Source organism: Homo sapiens, chromosome 15, assembly GCF_000001405.40.
Source record: "Homo sapiens chromosome 15, GRCh38.p14 Primary Assembly".
NCBI lineage: Eukaryota > Metazoa > Chordata > Mammalia > Primates > Hominidae > Homo > Homo sapiens.
Window position 1 is genome coordinate 74,534,303 of NC_000015.10, and position 18,268 is coordinate 74,552,570.

The window sequence follows — 18,268 nt, forward strand, 5'->3', positions numbered from 1 at the left end:
CCAGCACTTTGGGAGGCTGAGACGGGCGAATCACGAGGTCAGGAGATCGAGACCATCCTGGCTAACACAGTGAAATCCTGTCTTTACTAAAAATACAAAAAAAAATTAGCCGGGCTTGGTGGCGGGTGCCTGTAGTCCCAGCTACTGGGGAGGCTGAGGCAGGAGAATGGCATGAACCCAGGAAGCGGAGCTTGCAGTGAGCTGAGATCGCACCACTGCACTCCAGCCTGGGTGACAGAGTGAGACTGTCTCAAAAAAAAAAAAGAAGAGTAACAAGGGCCAGGCACGATGGCTCACGCTTGTAATCCCAAACACTTTGGGAGGACAAAGCAGGAGGATCACTTGAGTCCAGGAGTTCAAGACCAGCCTGGGCAACAGGGTGAAACCACATCTCTACAAAAAATACAAAAATTAGCTGCGCGTGATGGTGCACACCTGTGGTCCCAGCTGCTCGGGAGGCTAAGGTAGGAGGACCGCTTGAGCCTGGGAGGCAGAGGCTGCAGTGAACTGAGATCATGTCAGTGCACTCCAGCCTGGGTGAAAGAGAGAGACCCTGTCTCAAAAAAAAAAAAAAAAAAAAAAAAAGTAACAAGTCTTGGCACAGTTGTTTGTGCCTGTAATCCCGGCACTTTGGGAGGCTGATGCAGGAGGACTGCTTGAGCCCAAGAGTTCCGGACCAGCCTGGGTAACACAGTGAGACCTCGAGGCTGACACAGGAGGATCGCCTGAGCCCAGAAGTTCAAGACCAGTCTGGGTAGTACAGTGAGACCCGGCTCAATTAAAAAAAAAAAAAAAAAAGTAATAAAATGAATGAAAACCTTGCAAATAAAATTACCTTCACTGAACAAGTGAAATAACAAGAGACTTGATGTGTATTATTAAGCCTTAAATATGTTTTGCTATAAATCAGCAAAACTATGAGAAATCTGATGAGATAACTTAAGGTAACACAGACCAGCTCTGTGAAGCTGATGCATGTTGGCTTCAGGCACTCCAAGAAGTACACCAAACAAATCCATCCTGAGAGCTGCAAAGACATGCTTTGTGTTTCAGTTTTTATTGCAGAACAAACTACCTCAAAACTTACTGGTTTCACTCTTAAACAATAAGCATTTATTCTTTTTCATCAGTCTGTGGGTTTGCTGGGGAAGTCTTCTGGTCTGGGCCAGCTTAGCTGGGCCTGGATGGTCTAGAATGCTCTTGTTCATATGTCTGGTAGTTGCTGGCAGGCTAGCTGGTCTAAGGGGCCACACTCATACATGTCTGGCAGTTGGTCAGATGTCAGATGGGGTGATGACTATGTGTCTGTCATCATCCATTAGGTTAGTAGGAGTTATCCTCGTGGTAGTGGAAGAGGTCACAGCAGCAAGAGAAAGCAACCCCCTGTTGTAATCACTTCTCAAGACACTTCTTGCTTTACATTTGCCAGTGTCCTACAGGACAAAGCAAGTCACACGGCCAAGCCTAGATTCAGTGAATGGAGAAACAGACTCCACCTCTGCATTGGAGAAGCTGAAAAACACTGTGGCTATTCTGTTCAACCCACTACCCTTTAGAAGCTAAAGTAGAGATTAAATGATATTCCTTGTAACATGAATGGGCACGTATCTCAGGGTTTAATCATCTAGGTTTCAGGGCATTCTACATTTTCTGTTACTTATATCATATTTCTGTGATGGGAGGAGCATGCTTTTCTGTTTCAGCTACTGAGGTCAACTAGTAGGGCCACTTTCCTAGGACCTTTTCTATACCTTGAGACAGAGATAAAACTGAAGAGGTAGGCAAGAAGCTAGATCTTCTTAGGGCCCTGTAGGCCACATAAAGGAATTTAGGACTTGATCCCAAGAGCAATGCGAAGCCATAGAGCATTTTAAGGAGAAAGATCCGATCACTTGAGCTGTAGTGAAGACAATAACTCTAGAAGTTTTGCCAGGAAGGGGAATTAGTGAGATAAGGCTTTAGTCAACAGAATGTGGGATTGAGGGAAAGGCTTTTTTTTCCTTCTTCTTTTGAAAGCAAAAGATGAGTGAAACTAGAGTTTGCTTGAATACTAATGAAAGGATCCAACATTGCAAGAGGTTAAAGGGAGATCCCTAAGAATTGTGAAGGGAAACTTGAACAGCTATGGAGTTTGGCTTTTTTGTTTTTAGACGGAGTTTTCGCTCTTGTTGCTCAGGCTGGAGTGCAGTGGCACCATCTTGGCTCACTGCAACCTCTGCCTCCTGGCTTCAAGAGATACTCCTGCCTCAGCCTTCCGAGTAGCTGGGATTACGGCCAACTGCCGCCATGTCTGGCTAATTTTTGTATTTTCAGTAGAGACGAGATTTCACCATGTTGGCCAGGCTGGTCTGGAACTCCTGACCTCAAGTGATCTGCCCGCCTCGACCTCCCAAAGTGCTGAGGTTACAGGCATGAGCCATTGCACCCGGCCTGGAGTTTGGCTTTTAAGAAAAAAACTTCATACAATAAAATTGACTTTATTTTTGTTATATACAGTCCTATGGATTTTAACACATGTACAGATTGAAGTAACTACTACCAAAATCAGGATTCAAAAGAGTTCCATCACCCTAAAACCGTCCTTTTTGCTATCTCTTTAGTCATTCCCTCCACCCCCTTAGCTCCTGGCAATCACTGACTTACTCTCCAAACTATAATTTCAATATTTGTATGTGTGTCATTTGAGACTGACTTAGTTTACTTGGCATAATCCTTTCATTATTATGTAGTTATAATGCCTACTTGTTGTGTATATCAATACTTTATTCTTTTTATTGCTAATATTCCATTGGTGTTGGCTTCTGCTGGTATTCCTTAGGTCAGCAAATGATACCATTATTCTAACAATTACTTGGGCCAAAAACCTTGGCATCATCCTTCACTCTCTTCTCTAGCCTATACAACCAATCCATCAGCAAATCTTAGTGGTTCCACTTTCTTATCTTTTTATTTAGTTATTTTTTTTGAGACAGCGTCTCTCTCTGTTGCCCAGGCTGGAGTGCAGTGGCATGATCATGGCTCACTACAGCCTCCATCTCCTGGGCTCAAGCCATCCTCCCATCTCAGCCCTGACTAGCTGGGACTACAGGCACACACCATCGCACCTGGCTGATTTTTGTATTTACTGATAGAGACGGAGTTTCACCATGTTGCCCAGGCTGTTCTCGAACTCTTAGGCACGAGCGATCCACCCGTCTCAGCCTCCCATAGTGTTGGGATTACAGGTATGGGCCACTGTGCTCACTGGCTCGCTCAGCCAGCTCCACTTTCAAAATACACGTGGAATCTAACCACTTACCACTACCTCCACTGCTGTTACTTAGTTCAGGCCACCATCATCTTCTGCCAAGATTAGTGCTTCTACTCTTACCCCTTACCCTCATAGTCTATTCTCAACACAACAGCTAGAATGATCCCTTTAGAGATATAAATCTGATCAAGTAGCTCTTGTGTTCAGAACTCTCCAGGGCTTTCAGTGGTGACCGGCAAAATTGTTGCCATAATTGAGAAGGCCCTGCATGGTAAGGCCCCAGCTACCTTTTTTATCTGGTCTCTTAGCACTCTCCCCATCACTCACTCTGAATCAACATAGTGATCTCCTTGCTATTCCCATAGCACCTCAAGCAGGCTCCTGCCTCAGGGCATTTGAATTTGCTGTCTCCTCTGCCTGGAACACTCTCCCCCTAGATATCTACATGGCTTACACCCATTAAGTCAAGGCCAGTTTCTGCTTAAGGGCTCCTTATAAATTCTTCTCTGACTAACATCTAAAATAGCAGCTACCTGACACCACTGTCTAATCCCTACCCTGCTTTGTTTTCTTAGCATATATCCCTGACATTACATACTTGTTTTCTCTCCTCGAACTAGTAAAGATCCTTGCGAGCAGGGAATTTGTTTTGTCCATTGCTCAGTAAGCACCTACATGAGTGCCTGGTCTGGCATATAGTGGGAGTTGAATGAATATTTTTGATTGAATAAATAGGAGGTAAGGACAGGATGGGAAGGCAAGTAAGTAGGTTTCTCGATTTCAGGACATTCTACATTTTCTGTTACTTACATGATAAGGAAGTCAGGGGAAGTGGTAAGGGTATAGGTCAGAGATTTGTAGAGATCGTGGAGAGCAAGTTGACTAGAAAAATATAATGAAATTTCTAGTCACAGTTCACAGTCCTTTTTTTTTTTGAGACGGAGTCTTGCTCTGTCACCCCGGCTGGAGTGCAGTGGCGCGATCTCAGCTCAATGCAAACTCCACCTCCCGGGTTCAAGCAATTCTTCTGCCTCAGCCTCCAAAGTAGCTGGGATTACAAGTGCTTGCCACTGCGCTCAGCTAATTTTTGTATTTTTAATAGAGACGGGGTTTCACAATGTTGGCCAGGCTGGTCTCGAACTCCTGACCTCATGATCCACCCACCTCAGCCTCCCAAGTGCTGGGATTACAGGTGTGAGCCGCCGCACCTGACCCACAGTCCATTTAAAGTTGGTCTTTATTAATGTAGTGACGCCAATCTGTTCAGCAGGACACTTTTTCTTTTTTTGAGGTGGAGCTTTGCTCTTGTTGCCCAGGCTGGAGTGCAATGATGCAATCTCAGCTCACTGCAACCTCTCCTCTCAGGTTCAAGCTCTCCTGCCTCAGCCTCTGGAGTAGCAGGGATTACAGGTCTTCACCACCACGCCCGGCTAATTTTTGTATTTTTAGTAGACAGGGTTTCACCATGTTGGTCAGGCTGGTCTCAAACTCCTGACCTCAGGTGATCCACCCGCCTCGGACTCCCAAAGTGCTGGGATTACAGGCATGAGCCATCGTGCTCGGCCTCAACAGGACAATTTTTTTGTTTTTGAGATGAAATCTTGCTCTGTCACCCAGACTGGAGTGCAGTGGCGTGATCTCGGCTAACTGCAACCTCCGCCGTCCAGGTTCAAGCGATTCTTCTGCCTCAGCCTCCCCAGTAGCTGGGACTACAGGCATGCGCCACCACACCCAGCTAATTTTTGTATTTTTAGTAGAGACGGGGTTTCACCATATTGGCCAGGCTGGTTTCTAACTCCTGACCTCGTGATCCGCCCACCTCGGCCTCCCAAAGTGTTGGGATTACAGGCATGAGCCACCACGCCCAGCAACAGGACAACTTTCTATGACAAGGTACAAGCAAGGAGAAACACATAGGTCCATCCAGGGTGAGGGATTTCGTTGGGGAAAAAGGAGTGTTGTGGTGGGATTAAGATTAAGTAGGGGCAGGACTGTATTAATGTACCACTGAATCTAAAATGGATAAGGAAGGAAGTGAAGAGGGGATTAATGTATAAGAGATAAAGTAGAGGCTTTCAACCGATTAGATGCTCTGCTCTGATAAAGTGAAAGAACAGGCCGGGTGCAGTGGCTTACGCCTGTAATCCCAGCACTATGGGAGGCCGAGGCGAGCGGATCACCTGAGTTCAGGACTTCGAGACCAGCCTGGCCAACATGGCGAAACCTGTCTCTACTAAAAATGCAAAAATTAGCTGGCTTGGTGGCGCACACCTGTAATCCTAGCTACTCGAGAGGCTGAGGCAGTAGAATTGCTTGAACCCAGGAGGCGGAGGTTGCAGTGAGCTGAGGTTGCGCCACTGCACTCCAGCCTGGGCGACAGAGCAAGACTCCTTCTAAAAAAAAAAAGTGAAATAACAGTAATAACAGTTATGCTGTAATTCTATTTTTTTTGGGGGGGGGGAACAGTGTCTCTGTCACCCAGGCTGGAGTGCAGTGGCACAATCATGGCTCACTGCAACCTCCGCCTCTCCTGGGCTCAGGTGATCTCCCACCTCAGCCTTCCGAGTAGATGGGACCACAGGCATGCGCCAAAACGCCTCATTAAACTTTGTATTTTTTGTAGAGATGGGGTATCGCCTTGTTGCCCAGGCTGCTCTCCAACTACTGGGCCCAAGAGATTCGCCTGCCTCAGCCTTCCAAAGTGCTGAAATTACAGGCGTGAGCTACTGCATCAGGCCTATAATTCAAAAGTAGTCAAGCTGAGAGAATAGCAGGCTGTGGTTGAAAAGAGGGTTGTTCAAATTACTGAGTCGTGACGCGATAGCGTTTGGAGGGACAAGGTCCAGGTTTTAACTGGGATTGGGAGGCTGATATAAGGGTCGCTAAAGACGAGGCCCGATGTTGAATGGGTTGGCCACATAGGCTCTGAAATTATCAAAGATGGTCAGACGGGAGACAGACAAGGAGCTGGATACACAGATCGGCAGATTATCTCCAAACGGGGTGAAGTAGGTGACAGAGTCTAAGGGGAAGGGCTGAAGAAGCAAGTGTTTTTACAAGAGGTGACAGCACCTGGCACATAATCCCGACCTCTGCAAACTGAGACCTGAGAATACTAATTCATGTGAGAAAGTTTCAAGGGACGCAACATTCTCGGGACAGCCAGGTCTCTGTCCCAGGAAGGAGCGGAGAAGTTTAGAGACAAGCTGATCTAAACACGAGAACCTCTGAGGAAGACCGGCTTGAAGGCAGGAGATTGAGGAGGGGACCGAAGCGACGGCAAACCCTACACTCCTCTGCTCTTTAGTTACTTTCCTCCCAGCCAACCGCCCAAGCCACACCAACCTCCGCAATAGAAAACGCTCGGAGAACACGATCTCCCGCCCAGCTCTTTTCAACTCCCCGCGGAAGTGCTCACACCGGAACCCCTCTGTGTCCGCACTTTGCCATTGGCCGAGGCTTCCGCCCGCTTCCATTCGCTTCCTCCCACAACTCAGTCGGGCTGCGCGGTCCGTAGGAGTCACTTCCGCCTCGTCCCACCCCGCCCCCCGGTCCCTTTCTAGCAGCTTCCGGCTTCGGTCCCGCCCCGCCCCCTGTGGCCCCGCCCCGCCCCCGCCCCCGCCCCTGGCTGGCGGTCCAGCCCCGCGGCGCCGCTTCCGGTGCGGGCCCCGCCCCGGCTGTGGCCCCCGGCTGCGGAGGAGTCCGAGACGCAGCTGCCGCGCCGGGGCCTGAGCTGCCGCCTCCTCCGCCGCCCGAAAACCCGGAGTGCCCCGCACAGGTAAGTGGCCCGGGTCCGGGCTCCCTCAGGCATGGCGGGAGAGGAGGCTGCGACAGGTGGAGGGGCCGAGGCCAGGAGCCGAGGCAGGTGTAGAGAGAGAGGGGAATGCGCGAGTCGGGGGCGCGGGGACCGCGAAGGAAAGTGAGAGCGCCGCGGGAGCCCCGAGCGCCCTGTGCCCATTAGGGCATTTGAGATAAAGCGTTTGAGATAAAGCGATGAGAAGGGTGAGGGGCCCTGGAGCTGAGTGGGCGCGCAGATAGGTGGGGCGGGGGCCATCGGAAGAGCCAGCGGATTGGCTGGGAGGGTTGGTAGAGGTAAAAATGATAGGGCTGAATGGGGGGAGGTGAATAAAGAATGGGGGGAGGCGTGCAGGGGTGACCGGGAAGGTGGGCTGTGGGGCTTACAGGGGCCCGGGGCCAAAAGAATCCGGCAGCAAAAGCAGGGGAATGGTCAGCAGGCCGGGTTCAAAGCTGCAGGTAGTCCGTTGTACCCGGCTTGGTGGTCCGGGAACTTTAGGGGAAATGGGGGAGGGGCCCGTGTGAAGGGATGAAGAGGTTTAGATTTGAGACATAAGTTCTCCAAATGTAGGCAGGTGGCATTGTTTGGATCGCTGGCTGCTTAGGGACTGCGGGAAAATGGGCTCTTTGGGGGAGGGTGTGTGTATTGAGTTGTAGAACTGAGTCATCTCAGTCTTACTATAAGAGGCTGTGGGAGGGACACCTCCCCCTCTGCTGGGGACAGCATTCAGAGAAGATGGTGCCACAAGACAAGAAGCAGTTGTTCAGTGACTGGCAGGACTTGGTTGAGAAGTTATTCCGATCGTGATTGATTGACTGTAATGACTATGAGGACATTTAAAATGAACACCGAATTATTTGCTTTATTCTGTAATTTTCTTTGACCCAAATTGTTTTCATTTTAAATGAACACTTTTGCCAACTGAATTTAATGTGGATGTAAATCTTGTCATGCTTTTTTACACTGTAAGAAGAGCTAAAGCAGAATGAAAGTATTGCTGCAAGCGTAACTCACACTTTCTGAAGTGCCAAGAGAGGAAGTAAAGGCAGTAAGAGGCAAATTGGAATGCGAATCTTTCACAGAACACAAAAGGCACAAACAGGGCTATAAGATAAACAGAAAATGAGAATTTTTAATCTCTACTAATTGGCCTAGCTTTAAAAATTGTACCCTTTTTTACTCTAACCTGGAAAAAATCTTAAATCCAAGCAGTTTTTATTGCTGAAGATGTGATTACTTCTCCGTGAATTTTTGAAGATACTAAAGACACTTTGTTTTTTGTCTTTCGACCCAATCCTAAAACACTGGAACAATGCAGATATCAAGTCCCAACATGTGCAGTGCAGCTTCTTTCATGTGATGACAAAATTGTACGCCATGTTGCAAGTCCTGTTCACCTAAAATTGCCCTTGCATAGTAATCCATTCAGTTATGGAGACTTGCTGAAGAAACATAACTCAAGTGAAGTTTGTTGGGGGTGAGGGCCTGCAGGGGAGAGGTGGGGGAGTAAAAGGAGAAGAGGGTGTGAAAGTGATGTGTGTTTGGAGACTGATTGGTAAGAATGCAGATAAACCTGCCCCCAGAATGCTTTTGGCCCGAAAGACTTTTCTTTTTGTGTTTGTCAGAGAATATCATAATAGAAATGAATCAGAAAGAAAGGGGATGTGAAGAGATTTACTTCGCTGTTTATAAAAAAGAAGCAGCATTAACTTGTTGTTCAGACAATGTTGATATCTGTTTCAAATTAATTAACTTTAAAATCTCCAGAGGAATTCCCCCGTTTGCTTTTGAGTGACGATTGCAATTTGAGACTCTTGCCTCCTTGCGTGTTTCTTTCATGTTGTTGAAATTGGATTCTTTTTGAGGCTATAATGTCCAGTTAGTATGGCTCAGTCCACTCAACAAGCAGGCTGGCAATTTGATCAGGGAAATTTGAAAAGCTTAGACCCAAGAGCAGCTTGCTTGGTCTTGCTTTTTCTATGAGAGTAAAACTGTCTGCCTGATAGTTCTGTGTCTAGCTTAGAGGTGATATCTTTCTCCTGTGGGCTTGGGAACATACTCTCTCCTTTGCAGGCAGGTCCTTCTTTTCCTTTATTATTGTTGTTTGCATAATTATGCTTCTGCTACAGTGCAAACCCAGTTACCTTTTCAGTAATTAATGTTCAGTAACATTAGTTCAGTAACAGATTAATGTTTGATAATGTAGAGGAAGAGAGATCAGAACACGTTAGCAGACTAGATATTGGCTGGATGTACTTCTTTTAAAGCCTGCTACTACTACTGAAATTCATTCCCTATTTCCCCTCTTAGATCCTGTTTCTCTTCTTCACACCTTTTCCTACCCACCCACGAAACCCCCACCACTCACTCATCTTAAAACTCAGGTTTAGGAGCATATGTTTAGCGTTCGGAACTCATGGCCCTCTACTGGAGAAAAGGAAACCTTTTTATACCTGCTTAACATGGTTGTTTTTTCCCCCTCCTTCTTTGTGGTTTCTGTTAATCACTAAGGTTTAGACCCAGTGTGCCTGGTGGGCTGTGCCCAGGTTCAGAGTCATGCCACTCTGTGGGTGAAGCTTGAGGCAAAAATGGAGCCACTTCAGCAGCAGCAGCAGCAGCAGCAGCAACAACAGAAGCAGCCACACCTGGCTCCTCTGCAGATGGATGCCAGAGAGAAGCAGGGCCAGCAGATGAGAGAAGCCCAGTTCTTGTATGCCCAAAAGCTGGTCACACAGCCGACTCTCCTTTCCGCCACAGCTGGGAGACCTTCTGGCAGCACTCCCTTAGGTCCCTTAGCCAGAGTTCCACCCACCGCAGCAGTGGCCCAAGTGTTTGAACGGGGCAACATGAACTCAGAGCCTGAGGAAGAGGACGGAGGTTTGGAAGATGAGGATGGGGATGATGAAGTTGCAGAGGTGGCTGAGAAAGAAACCCAGGCTGCTTCAAAATATTTTCATGTGCAGAAAGTAGCTCGCCAAGATCCCAGAGTGGCACCCATGTCCAATCTACTTCCAGCACCAGGGCTCCCACCACATGGACAACAAGCTAAAGAAGACCATACCAAAGATGCTTCCAAGGCCTCACCTTCTGTCTCCACAGCAGGACAGCCGAACTGGAATCTGGATGAGCAGCTCAAGCAGGTCAGTCTTTCTGGTATTGTAGGTCATTTGGTCTTCCTGAAGGCCAGAGAGGGGTCATGGACTGACAGGGTCAGGGGCTGTGCCAGTCTGTGCCTTCTCACCCCACTTCGGTGACCAACAGCCTAGACATGAATAGACTTTGGATTTTTTTCTTATTTAATATTTATTTTCTTCATTAAAGCAATGAAATATATGTTACTCTTTTTTTTTTTTTTTTTTTGACATGGAGTCTCACTCTGTCACCCAAGCTGGAGTGCAGTGGCATGATCTCGGCTCACTGCAACCTCCATCTCCCAGGTTCAAGCGATTCTCCTGCCTCAGTCTCCTGAGTAGCTGGGACTATAGGCGCGTGCCACTATGCCTGGCTTATTTTTTGCATTTTTAGCAGAGACGGGGTTTCACCGTGTTAGCCAAGATGGTCTCGATCTCCTGACCCCGTGATCTGCCTGCCTCGGCCTCCCAAAATGTTGGGATTACAGGCATGAGCCACCGCCCCTGGCCTGTATGTTACTCTTAATATAGGTTTTGCCAAGTTTGATGTGAAAGAATGTCAATACAATCTTCTTTTTTAAAGGAAGGATGAAGTTGCAACAGTGTTGTGAGGAATATCTAAAATGAGATGTGTGACTAATTACAGCTTTTCTAATAATAATGTTTCTAACAGTAATGTAAAAGAAAGTTCTTGCCTAAGACAGTTTCTTAGCTCCAGGCTAACCCTCTTTAAGGACAGTTGGTTGTTTTGGAGCTAAACACAGCTGACAAGAAGCACTTGCATTGTATATATTTTCCAACAAAGAGCCTTGTAGACATGATTTCATTTCACTCTTACATCATCCCCTTGACAACAGGGAAGGGTAGACCTCAAAATTTCCTTTTTAGTCAAGGAAAGCTGAAGTGACTTCCAAATGGCTGAGTATCAGAGTCAGTTAGGGAGCTTTTTAAAAAATACAGATTGCTGAGTCCTAATGAATTATCTTGGAGGGTGGAGCCTAGGGAATCTTTGTTTTCAACCAAGCCTCTTCTCTTTGTGACCCATAATATAGTTTTTCCTCGCCCAAAGGATGGGAGTGATGATAAGTTGTTCCAGCTTAAGTGACTTGTTGGTGCTTAGTAAGGGAGTTCATGGGTACCCTGCAGAAGCACACACACTTCTTGTGATCCAGTGGTACTGTTTAGAAATCATTTGTGAAAAGCTGTGGGTTTTCACAGGGCAACTGAGAAGTCATATAAGAAAGGTCCTTTGGAACCCAAAAAATCAAACATCTTGGATCAGGAGGTCTGTACAGTAGATCTGAGTTTTACAACAATAGTGTTTGCAGCCAGCAGTGGGATTCAAATCCCATCACTTCCAAATATTGCCCTTGTGATCTTTTAGTAGGGCTCTGATTTGCTCTGAGCCTGTGTCTTCTCATCTGTGAAATAAAAAGAGTGCCACTGCCTCCCATGGATGTTGTAAGGATTAACCGAGCTAGCACATGTGAAAGCTTGTCCAGTGCCAGGCACATGGTAGGTAATAGTGCCCGGGGGAGCTCTTTTATGTAAACAGTGCCATCCTCTCCTGCATCACATAGACATGCCTCTGAAGTGGGAGATGTACTGAGATACACAGAGGTTTTCACTCATCACCCAGGGAGATAGTGGCAGAGCTAGGACTAGAATCAGAGAATCCCAACTTCCACGACAGCAGCACCCTGGCCGCCAGCCCAGACCCGCCTCCCACTGATTGCTTTGGTTTAGCAAAACATCTGTGAGTTGCCGGCTGCCCCCGCACTGCTGTGTGGTTGGCAGAGTTCCATACCGGCCGCTGAGTCAGCTCATAGCAGGATCCTGCCCTGACAGCGCTGGGAAAGTTCAGGCCCGAGGCGGCTGGGCTGCCCCCGCCTTGGCAGCTGGCCAGCGTCTGCGTGTGTGCGGTCGTTCCTAGAAAGTGCAGCCGCATGCGAGGAACAAGTGGAGCTCCAGAGCCTGTCTGTCTTCAGGAAGTGTAGCAGGTGTTGAGGTCAAGCCATTAGAGGTTTAAAAAAAGACTCTTCAGAACTGGCGTGTGCATGTGCACACGTGTGCACCGTGGCAGGGCACCCAGCATCATGTTATCTAGATGGTGGCAGCCCTATGACTACGTAGCTCAGTATTCAGGGGGCTGGCTGTTGGCATTTGAAACTCTTTGCGTTCACTTTATGTTTCTGAGGCATATTCACTAATTATAGACTGCTTGGCAGAGCACCTGCCAAAATGTTTTATAAATACCACAGTAGCTGAGGTATAATCCCTCACCCAAAATTTACCTTCCCCCAGGATTTGGAGATCAAGAACTGAACTGGGGGGCTTTGGGTAGCAATGACTTAAACCGTCAGATGTGCACGTCCTTTTCCCCTTTAATTTTTAACATTGATTTGATCTGTGCTCTCCTTTTCTATAAATCCTGATTTTAAAGGAGTAAATCATATGCTTGGGGATTTTAAAACTTTTTTTTTAGTATATTTTAGAAGGGCCAAAAATAATAATATTCTTGGGGAGAGCCTATAGAAACCATTACAGATCATTAGACTAGCTTGTTTTGTTGTTCAAAATCTTTACTTTATGAAACTTAATGGAGTGCAAAAATAGAATATCCCTTGCTCCAGCAACAATTACAAAGACCTTTACAATTGACACAGATCTTTCCCCCCCGCCTTCCCCCTCCCCCGCCGACACAGAGCGCACTCTGTTGCCCAGGCTGGAGTGCAGTGGCGCGATCTCGGCTTCCTGCAACCTCCGCCTCCTGAGTTCAAGTGATTTTCGTGCCTCACCCTCCCTAGCAGCTGAGATTACAGGCATATGCTACCATGCCTGGCTAATTTATTTTTTTATTTTTATTTATTTTTTTGTATTTTTAGTAGAGACAGGGTTTCGTCATGTTGGCCAGGCTGGTCTCAAACTCCTGACCTCAAGTGATCCGCCCGTCCTGGCCTCCCAAAGTGCTGGGATTACAGGCGTGAGCCACCGCGCCTACCCTGACACAGATCTTATTGTTAATGTGATACAGTGTCCATCTTGTTCTTTTGAACAACAAACTTTTACAGAGGCTTCTTTGTGCCAGACCTGTGCTGTATGAAACAAGGCATGTTTCTCTCTCAGGGAGTTCAGGTCTAGCGGTGGCAGTGTGGGAACCTCAAGGGGGATTCGAACTTGGGTTACAATAATTTGATTCTGTCCTGAGTCTACTGGAGCCCAGCCACCCAGTCTGCTATGGCAGAGATATTTTAAAACAGAGTTTTGTTTCAAACATTCACATGCCAAAGTTTAAAAAGTTAATTTTGTCTACAGCATAGCATAGCTTGGCAAACCAACAGGAATACTCAGAAGTATTTTGCAAGATTTTGGGGTAAGGGAGGACAGGCATCTGCTAACTGAAAAGTGAAACTGGGAAAGCTTAAGGGTTCCAGAGATTATTCTTTGCATCTGAAATCCCTTACTTAGAACATGTAAAGTCAAAATTATTTCGTGGATTCTCTTTGAAGAAACTCTTAGAAAATATTTGCTTCTCAAGGCCTGGATTGTTAAGGTGTGGTATTATTCTCTGACACCACAGTGATGGGAAGATGGATAACGCCATTGAGCCAAGTGTTCTAAAACCCATCAGATTCCTATGGGCAGAGTAAATAATTGTAAAACAAGAAAACAGACAAAGAACTGAGTGTTCCTTTTCTCAAAGGAGATCATACAGCCAACTAGGGGATGTTGCTGGCCTTTTGGGGGTGGTGTTCTCCCCCTCTGGTAGAAGGTGGTTCAAGCAGTACAGGCTGGGTCTGTCTTGAGCCCATTGGTAGAGCTAGGTTACTAGAAGGGTGTAGACCCCCTTCGATAGAATAGAAAGAAGAAAGATGGCTTGGCAGGCATGTGGGGCCAGGGTGCATGTGTCCGATTTTCTGCATACTTTGGCAGTCGCTTTGGTTACTGCATGTGGCTGTGATCCAACCACGGGCTTAACATACTTTCACAGCCAATTCAGTTGAAAGCACTGGGAGCCATTGCACAATAAATGTTGGCCCCCTCCTCTACCCTTCCCCTTCTAGCATGTTTTACAAGATTTTGTTTTGTGACTGCCTTCTAGGATGGAAGGGTTTAATTTCAGAATATTTGCAATTAAAGAATTCCTAACGTCCTAAAGCTTGCTAATCACATGTGTTAACAAGGACAGGGTATTACCAATTTCAAACACCTCCAAGCCGCTTGGGGCACCCTCAGCTCATGACAGCGTGGGTTCTCTCTGAATTTGTTGGAGAAGCACTTCTGCAGTACAGAAGCAAAGGAAGCTCCATGACAAATGGGAAGAATTGCCATGTTAGATGGGCACTGGGAGAGACAAAGGGAATGTGATTTGAGAAGAGGGAGTTTCGTGTTTGTTTTTGTTTTTTTGGGGTTTTTTTTGCCTATTCTTAACCATGAGCAAAATCAATCTCATCTTACCGTGAGAGTCGACTTCCTGCTGGGCAATTAGTGGAGACTACTGTCCATTTCTTCTAATGCCATGACTGACTGACTGGTGTCCAGAAGCCATCCCTCTAATTAAGGTGTAGTCCCTTGGGATAGGCCTACTTTTCTTTCTTTTTTTTTCTTTTTTTTTAGACGGTGTCTCGCTGTCACTCAGGCTAGAGTGCAGTGGCATGATCTCGGCTCACTGCAGGCTCCACCCCCCGGGGTTCACGCCATTCTCCTGCCTCAGCCTCCTGAGTAGCTGGGACTACAGGTGCCCGCCACCACGCCCGGCTAATTTTTTTGTATTTTTAGTAGAGACGGGGTTTCACCGTGTTAGCCAGGATGGTCTCGATCTCCTGACCTCGTGATCCGTCCGCCTCGGCCTCCCAAAGTGCTGGGATTACAGGCGTGAGCCACTGCGCCCGGCCGGGATAGGCCTACTTTTCTTGGTAGATACTGCATGACTATCATTAGCTGGGTGTGGTGGCACACGCCTGTAGTCCCAACTACTTCGGCAGGCTGAGGCAGGAAAATCACTTGAACCTGGGAGGCGAAGGTTGCAGTGAGTCGATATCATGCCACTTGCACTCCAGTTTGGATGACAGAGTGAGATGGTGTAAAAAAAAAAAAAAAGGGAAAAAGAAAAGATACAGCATGACTATGGAACATTTGAGGCTTTTTTAAAAAACTGTGCAAAGTATTGCCCAAAAAAGAAAATGTTCGTAGGCTTTCCTCATGTTCTTTATAGAGCTACCTTGCATGCCCTTGCCTTCTGCAGTCACAATGGAATCCATCTAGTTGAGTGGTTCTCAATTAGAGGTGACCCCTGCCCCTTCCCAGGGGACATTTGGCAGTGTCAGGAGACATTTTTGATTGCCATGACTGGAGTAGGGGGCAGTGTGCTATGGGCGTCTAGTGGGTAGACCAGGGATGCTGCTAAACATCCTATAACGCACTGGACAGCCCCCCAACAGCAAAGAGTTATCTGGTCCAAAATAACAGTAGTGCCAAGGTTGAGAAACCGTGCTCTAGATTGTGCAACCAGAAAGAACATAAGCTTCGCTATCATCAGACAGCACCAGAGACTCTTTTCCTTTGTGTTTCAGTCTCAGTAACTGAGGAGTTTGGCAGCCTTGAATTTTCTTGACTTCTGCTTTCAATATCTGTACCGAGCTCATGTCTTTCCTCTAGTCATCTAGGTGAACAGACTGTCACTTGGGAAAGGTTTGGGGCCTAGAACTTGAGATCTCTTACTTGACTCTATCAGTGATTCTTTCAGCCCAGCACTCCATGATATCTTTGATATCTTTGGTGATATATGAGAGAGCTTGGTTGCCCTTGTAGACATTAACCCCAAAAGGTTAAAGTGTAAATACTTGGCAGACTTGTTACCTAGTAACAGATTTAATTATTAAATCAGCATTGGTTTTGGAGCCAGAGGATGTGGATTAAGACCCTACTTCCCGCCAGGCGCAGTGGCTCACACCTGTAATCCCAGCACTTTGGGAGGCGGAGGCAGGCGGATCACGAGGTCAGGAGATCAAGACCATCTTGACTAACACAGTGAAACATCATCTCCGTCTCTACTAAAAATACAAAAAAAAAAAAAGTTAGCTGGGCGTGGTGGCAGGCGCCTGCGGTCCCAAGCTACTCCGGAGGCTGAGGCAGGAGAGTGGCATGAACCCGGGAGGCAGAACTTGCAGTAAGCTGAGATCACACCACTGCACTCCAGCCTGGGTGACAGAGTGAGTGTCCATCTCAAAAAAAAAAAAGGAAAAGAAAAAAGACCCTGCTTCCACTGCTTGCTTGCTCTAGTACTTTGGACAAGCGTTCTAATCTGCCTCTCTGAACCCATGCATCAATCTATTCCAGAGGATGATAATCCTCTCCCGCTATCCTCAGGAAGTGATTTTAAGGATATTACAAAGGTAGAAGAAAAATATGAGTGTGAAAGAGCTTTGCAGGGTTAGGGCGAATTGTCATCAACACCTAAGTCCTTTTTGAAGCTACCGTCGTCCCTCACATGCAGGGGATTGGTTCCAAGACCCCCACATATACCAAAATTTGAGCATACTCAAGTCCTGCAGTCAGCTCTGTGGAACCCACATATATTAAAAGTCAGTCTTCCATATACATGGGTTTCACATCTCGTAAATTTTGTCTTTGATCCAAGTTGGGTTGAAAATAGTTTACATATAAGTGGACCCAGGCAGTTCAAATCCACGTTGAAGGGTCAATCATAATTTTTCAGTCTTTATGACCTTTGTAGATAAGATGCTCCATAAATCCTACCCACTACTCTAAAACAACTCCTTTTCAGGTTTTCTAGAGCCCTGACCACACTCTGGTGTTCTGAAGTTCTCTGAAACCTTTCAGGATTATGTGAGCTTAAACCATGGCGCTTCTGAAGCTGTATCTTTCCGTATTAGCATAGGGATATGTGTGTATTGTTCTTTAGGTAGAAGTAAGCTTTATAGATACTAAGTCCTTATAAATACACAATCACTGACTTGACTTGGGTCCTTACCCTCTCACCAGAGGCTAATTTCTCTACATGTGTCCCAGATCCCATCCCCTTCCAGGTTTCCAGGGACTTGCTCCATCAGTGAACCCTCCATTTCCTGACTCTTTGGGCTCATTCTCTTCCAGGCCTTTTCCACGTTTACGCATCTTCTCTCTGTCAGACTTAAAAACAAGCAAACAACAACAAAAACCTTTAATCTTAAATTTTACCTGAGTCAGTTGTTAACAAGGAAATGAGAGACCACTTTTAAAAAATTTCCTCTTGATTGCACATTATTGCCAGCTTTTTTTCTATTCCTAACTATCCCCCACATCCTTGCAACAAAGCTTCTCAAAGGAATTGGTTTTACTCTTTATTTCCATTTGTCACCTCCTACTCACTCCTCAGCATACTCCAGTCTGATCTCTGTTTCTTCCATGTCCCTGAAGTTCCATGTTGCTAAGCCCAGCCTTCCCTGACCTCATTGATTTCTCAGCATTATTGAATACAGAGCACTCCCTCCTTGAATATTCTCTTCTTTTGCTTTCTATAGTCCTTCATTCTGCTTATGCTTATTTTCTTTTCCTTTTCTTTTTTCTTTCTTTCCTTTTTTTTTTTTTTTTTTTTTCTGAGACGGAGTCTCGCTCTGCCGCCCAGGCTAGAGTGCTGTGGCGTGATCTTGGCTCACTGCAATCTCCGCCTCCCGGGTTCAAGCGATTCTCCTGCCTCAGCCTCTCAAGTAGCTGGGACAACAGGCGCATGCCACCACGCCCAGCTAATTTTTTGTATTTTTAATAGAGATGGGGTTTCATTATGTTAGCCAGGATGGTCTCAATCTCCTGACCTCGTGATCCACCCGCCTTGGCCTCCCAAAGTGCTGGGATTACAGGCATACACCACCACACCCGGCTAATTTTGTATTTTTGGTAGAAACGGGGTTTCTCCACGTTGGTCAGGCTGGTCTCGAACTCCCGACCTCAGGTAATCCACACACCTTGGCCTCCCAAAGTGCTGGGATTACAGGCATGAGCCACCACGCCCAGCCTATTCTATGGATTTTGACAAATGTGTAATGACATGTATCCGCCATTGTAGTATCACACAGAGTAGTTTCACTGTCC

General features: G+C 46.6%; 1 protein-coding gene and 1 long non-coding RNA gene across 5 annotated transcripts in view, besides 11 other annotated features; one reads left to right on the forward strand and one right to left on the reverse strand.

Moving 5' to 3' along the window:
* Positions 1–1,038: 1,038 nt before the first annotated feature.
* Positions 1,039–6,786, reverse strand: LOC124903528 (uncharacterized). The gene is made up of 2 exons (XR_007064719.1): positions 6,596–6,786; positions 1,039–1,433 (listed from the first exon to the last, which is right to left on the reverse strand). It is a non-coding gene; the product is annotated as an uncharacterized LOC124903528 (long non-coding RNA).
* Positions 6,174–6,303: an enhancer, noted in NCBI's record as "active region_9781". NCBI's record gives its function as "activates an Ori minimal core promoter by ATAC-STARR-seq in GM12878 lymphoblastoid cells {active_cell/tissue: GM12878}" and the evidence as "EXISTENCE:reporter gene assay evidence [ECO:0000049][PMID:35858748]".
* Positions 6,174–6,779: a biological region, named in NCBI's record as "NANOG-H3K27ac-H3K4me1 hESC enhancer GRCh37_chr15:74832881-74833422".
* Positions 6,238–6,779: an enhancer, noted in NCBI's record as "NANOG-H3K27ac-H3K4me1 hESC enhancer chr15:74832881-74833422 (GRCh37/hg19 assembly coordinates)". NCBI's record gives its function as "activates a minimal SCP1, AML or CMV promoter by ChIP-STARR-seq in naive H9 embryonic stem cells {active_cell/tissue: H9 hESC(naive)}" and the evidence as "EXISTENCE:reporter gene assay evidence [ECO:0000049][PMID:30033119]".
* Positions 6,354–6,503: an enhancer, noted in NCBI's record as "active region_9782". NCBI's record gives its function as "activates an Ori minimal core promoter by ATAC-STARR-seq in GM12878 lymphoblastoid cells {active_cell/tissue: GM12878}" and the evidence as "EXISTENCE:reporter gene assay evidence [ECO:0000049][PMID:35858748]".
* Positions 6,804–7,163: a silencer, noted in NCBI's record as "silent region_6652". NCBI's record gives its function as "represses an Ori minimal core promoter by ATAC-STARR-seq in GM12878 lymphoblastoid cells {active_cell/tissue: GM12878}" and the evidence as "EXISTENCE:reporter gene assay evidence [ECO:0000049][PMID:35858748]".
* The window catches only part of ARID3B (AT-rich interaction domain 3B), a 56,912-nt gene continuing 45,561 nt past the window's right edge, over positions 6,918–18,268 (forward strand). For 2 of the 4 annotated variants that reach the window (NM_001307939.2, NM_006465.4), the window contains exons 1-2: positions 6,918–7,028; positions 9,558–10,186. In NM_001307939.2, the coding sequence (NP_001294868.1) occupies positions 9,635–10,186 (552 nt within the window). In that variant the 5' untranslated portion in view covers positions 6,918–7,028; positions 9,558–9,634. Of the gene's footprint in view, positions 7,029–9,557; positions 10,187–18,268 lie in introns of those variants that run through there. The other 2 variants (XR_007064418.1, XR_007064419.1) reach the window with 1 other exon arrangement.
* Positions 7,680–7,864: a silencer, noted in NCBI's record as "fragment chr15:74834323-74834507 (GRCh37/hg19 assembly coordinates)". NCBI's record gives its function as "represses an EF-1alpha promoter that drives an FKBP-Casp9 reporter gene in an ReSE screen in HepG2 liver carcinoma cells {active_cell/tissue: HepG2}" and the evidence as "EXISTENCE:reporter gene assay evidence [ECO:0000049][PMID:32094911]".
* Positions 7,854–7,913: an enhancer, noted in NCBI's record as "active region_9783". NCBI's record gives its function as "activates an Ori minimal core promoter by ATAC-STARR-seq in GM12878 lymphoblastoid cells {active_cell/tissue: GM12878}" and the evidence as "EXISTENCE:reporter gene assay evidence [ECO:0000049][PMID:35858748]".
* Positions 11,720–12,262: a silencer, noted in NCBI's record as "fragment chr15:74838363-74838905 (GRCh37/hg19 assembly coordinates)". NCBI's record gives its function as "represses an EF-1alpha promoter that drives an FKBP-Casp9 reporter gene in an ReSE screen in HepG2 liver carcinoma cells {active_cell/tissue: HepG2}" and the evidence as "EXISTENCE:reporter gene assay evidence [ECO:0000049][PMID:32094911]".
* Positions 11,720–12,272: a biological region, named in NCBI's record as "ReSE screen-validated silencer GRCh37_chr15:74838363-74838905".
* Positions 11,846–12,140: an enhancer, noted in NCBI's record as "tiled region #9638; HepG2 Activating DNase unmatched - State 8:EnhW". NCBI's record gives its function as "activates a minimal TATA promoter and a strong SV40 promoter by Sharpr-MPRA in HepG2 cells {active_cell/tissue: HepG2}" and the evidence as "EXISTENCE:reporter gene assay evidence [ECO:0000049][PMID:27701403]".
* Positions 11,963–12,272: an enhancer, noted in NCBI's record as "active region_9784". NCBI's record gives its function as "activates an Ori minimal core promoter by ATAC-STARR-seq in GM12878 lymphoblastoid cells {active_cell/tissue: GM12878}" and the evidence as "EXISTENCE:reporter gene assay evidence [ECO:0000049][PMID:35858748]".